The following is a 2401-nucleotide window of genomic DNA, read 5'->3' on the forward strand; positions in this document are numbered from 1 at the left end:
GCTCCCAGCCAAATGTGAGCTTCTGTGAGGCCTGGGTTTAATGTGGTACAGGAAGGGGAAGCAACTCCATAGGAGGGAGCCAGGGAAGGCTTCTCAGAGGAGATGATGTTTGGACTGAGTCTTGATGGATGTATAGGAGAGTGTCAGGAGAAGGGCAGCTCAGGCAGAGTAAGCCCAGAGGCCTGGAATTGTCTGGTGTCTTGGGAACAGCATATCATTCCAGAGGCCTGAAAGGTGGGATGGGACTTTTAGGGGAAGCAGTTGGAGGCAAGGCCTGAGAGGTGAGCAGGGCCACATCATGTGGGGCCTTTGGGCCAAGTTAAATGTATCCTGAGGGCAGTAGGGAGCCATGGAAGGGTTTGAGAAGGGGAGTGACCTGGTCTGCTTTAAGTTCTAGAAAGACAACTCAGCAGTGGCATGGAGAATGGGCTGGAAAGGGGGACTCTGCAGCCCCTTGCAGTCACGGTGGTGAGGCTCAGAAGGAGACAGGATGTCAGCAAAGCTCTTTGACCTGGGCCTGGCAGTCATCACTCTGGTCCCATCTGGTCAGGGTGGCTGAGCTGACCTCCACCCCACGGCCCGAGGCCGCTGCTCTGAAGGCCCGCCGAGCTGGCTGGAGAAGAGGCCGAATGCAGCCTGCAACGGGGAAGTAGAAATATTTGCTCAGCTGCAAGGACAAGCTCGAGTCTCTCCTTCCACATGAAGGGGAAAGACGCTGGCCAGGCTGGGGTCTGTCCACGGTTCTCCCGCGGCTCCCAGAGCTCGCCCCCGCCCCTCCATTTCTGCCTTTGAGCCATCCAGCAAAAGTGTCCCTGCTCTTCCCTGCAACAACCACTCAGAGCTCTGAAGTCAGCGAACATGACCTTTCTCCTTTTCTTCTCCAATTGAACACACCCAGCTCTTTCATCTTTCCCTCATGTGACAGGGACTGACCTTTATTTTTATTTTTAGAGAAATGTCCAGATTCAGCAGCCATTGATTCAAATCTTTTTTTTTCAACTAGCTGACACAGACAAGGCACCATAAGCATTTAGAGCCAGGACTTTGATGTGAGGCAGCCTGGGCTTGAATCCCAGCCTGAGCTCTGCCACCACTCTGCTGTGTGACCTTGGACAAGTCGCTTAATCTTTCTGAGCCTCACTGGGCCTTTTCTCTAAGGAGGTATTTGTAACCCCTTTCTCAAAGAGTTGTTGAAGGAGCCAATGAACAAGTATTTACAAAGTGCTTAGGACAGTGTCTGGCATGTAGTAGGTGCTCAGTAAGTAGTAGCTACTATTGTCTATGTCCCTGGACACCTCAGCCCCTCTTCAGCTTCCTTTAATTCATGGTACTAGGCAGCTGTGCATTCACCAACTGCCAGGCCTTGATTCAACACTTCTGGGCTCAGAAGACTCTAAGATGGTCCCTCCCCAGGGGACAGGCATGGTGGCTCATGCCTGTAATCCCAGCACTTTGGGAGGCTGAGGTGGGAAGAGCACCTGAGCCTGGACAACAGAGTTCAGGAGTTCAAGGCCAGCCTGGGCAACAGAGCAAGACCCTGTCTCTACAACAATTTTAAAAATTAGCTGGGTGTGGTCATGCATGTGCCTGTAGTCCTAGCTACTCAGGAGGCTGAGGTGGGAGGATTGCTTGAGCCCAGGAGGTTGAGGCTGCAGTAAGCTGAGATCACACCATGGCACTCAAGCCTGGGCAACAGACCCTGTCTCAAAAAATGCAAAAACAAGAACAAAAAATTAAAAAAAAGATGATCCCCAGTGATTTTTACCTATTTTTATTTTAACTTTCATCTCCTGCTATTATGCCTTGTGTCATCCCCTCCCCTTGAATTGGGGAGGACCTGTGACTTGTTTCTAACCAGCAGAGGTGACAGGATGTCACTTCTGGGATGACGTTTGGTGAGATTGTATCTTCCTTCTTGCTGGTAGCCTCTCTCCCTGGCTGGCTTGCTGCAGCCAGCTGCTATGCTGTAAGCAGCCCCATGGAGAGGCCCGTTTGGCAAGGAGCTGAGGGTGGTCTACAGCCAATACTAGCAAGACAACCTACAAGGAACTGAATGCTGCTGTGATACTATGAATATTAAAAATATATATTTATTCTTCATCTCTGATTCCTGGCTCAGAGCTTCTGAAATGCTTGTAATTTCCTGCACGATGGGATGATAGGAGCATCTGTTGTTATAATATTTAGTCTTAGTCCCTGGTTCCTGGCGTAAGAGCTTTTAAGACCCTTGGAATCTCTGGAGTGATGAATATCTTTTGTATGCTGATGAGATGACTGGTGGTTGGGGGTCCCTAGATAGCTTCAGGACTGGGGCTGGTTGCCAGAAAGACTGAGGCAAGATGAGAAGGTTGGAACTTTCAGCCCTATCCCCCAGAGCTCTGGGGAAGAAAGAAGGGCTGGA

At 50.6% G+C, this 2401-nt stretch overlaps 1 annotated feature.

Annotated features, from left to right (window-relative positions):
- Positions 631-1130: an enhancer, noted in NCBI's record as "H3K4me1 hESC enhancer chr1:22618619-22619118 (GRCh37/hg19 assembly coordinates)". NCBI's record gives its function as "activates a minimal SCP1, AML or CMV promoter by ChIP-STARR-seq in naive H9 embryonic stem cells {active_cell/tissue: H9 hESC(naive)}" and the evidence as "EXISTENCE:reporter gene assay evidence [ECO:0000049][PMID:30033119]".

Source organism: Homo sapiens, chromosome 1, assembly GCF_000001405.40.
Source record: "Homo sapiens chromosome 1, GRCh38.p14 Primary Assembly".
NCBI lineage: Eukaryota > Metazoa > Chordata > Mammalia > Primates > Hominidae > Homo > Homo sapiens.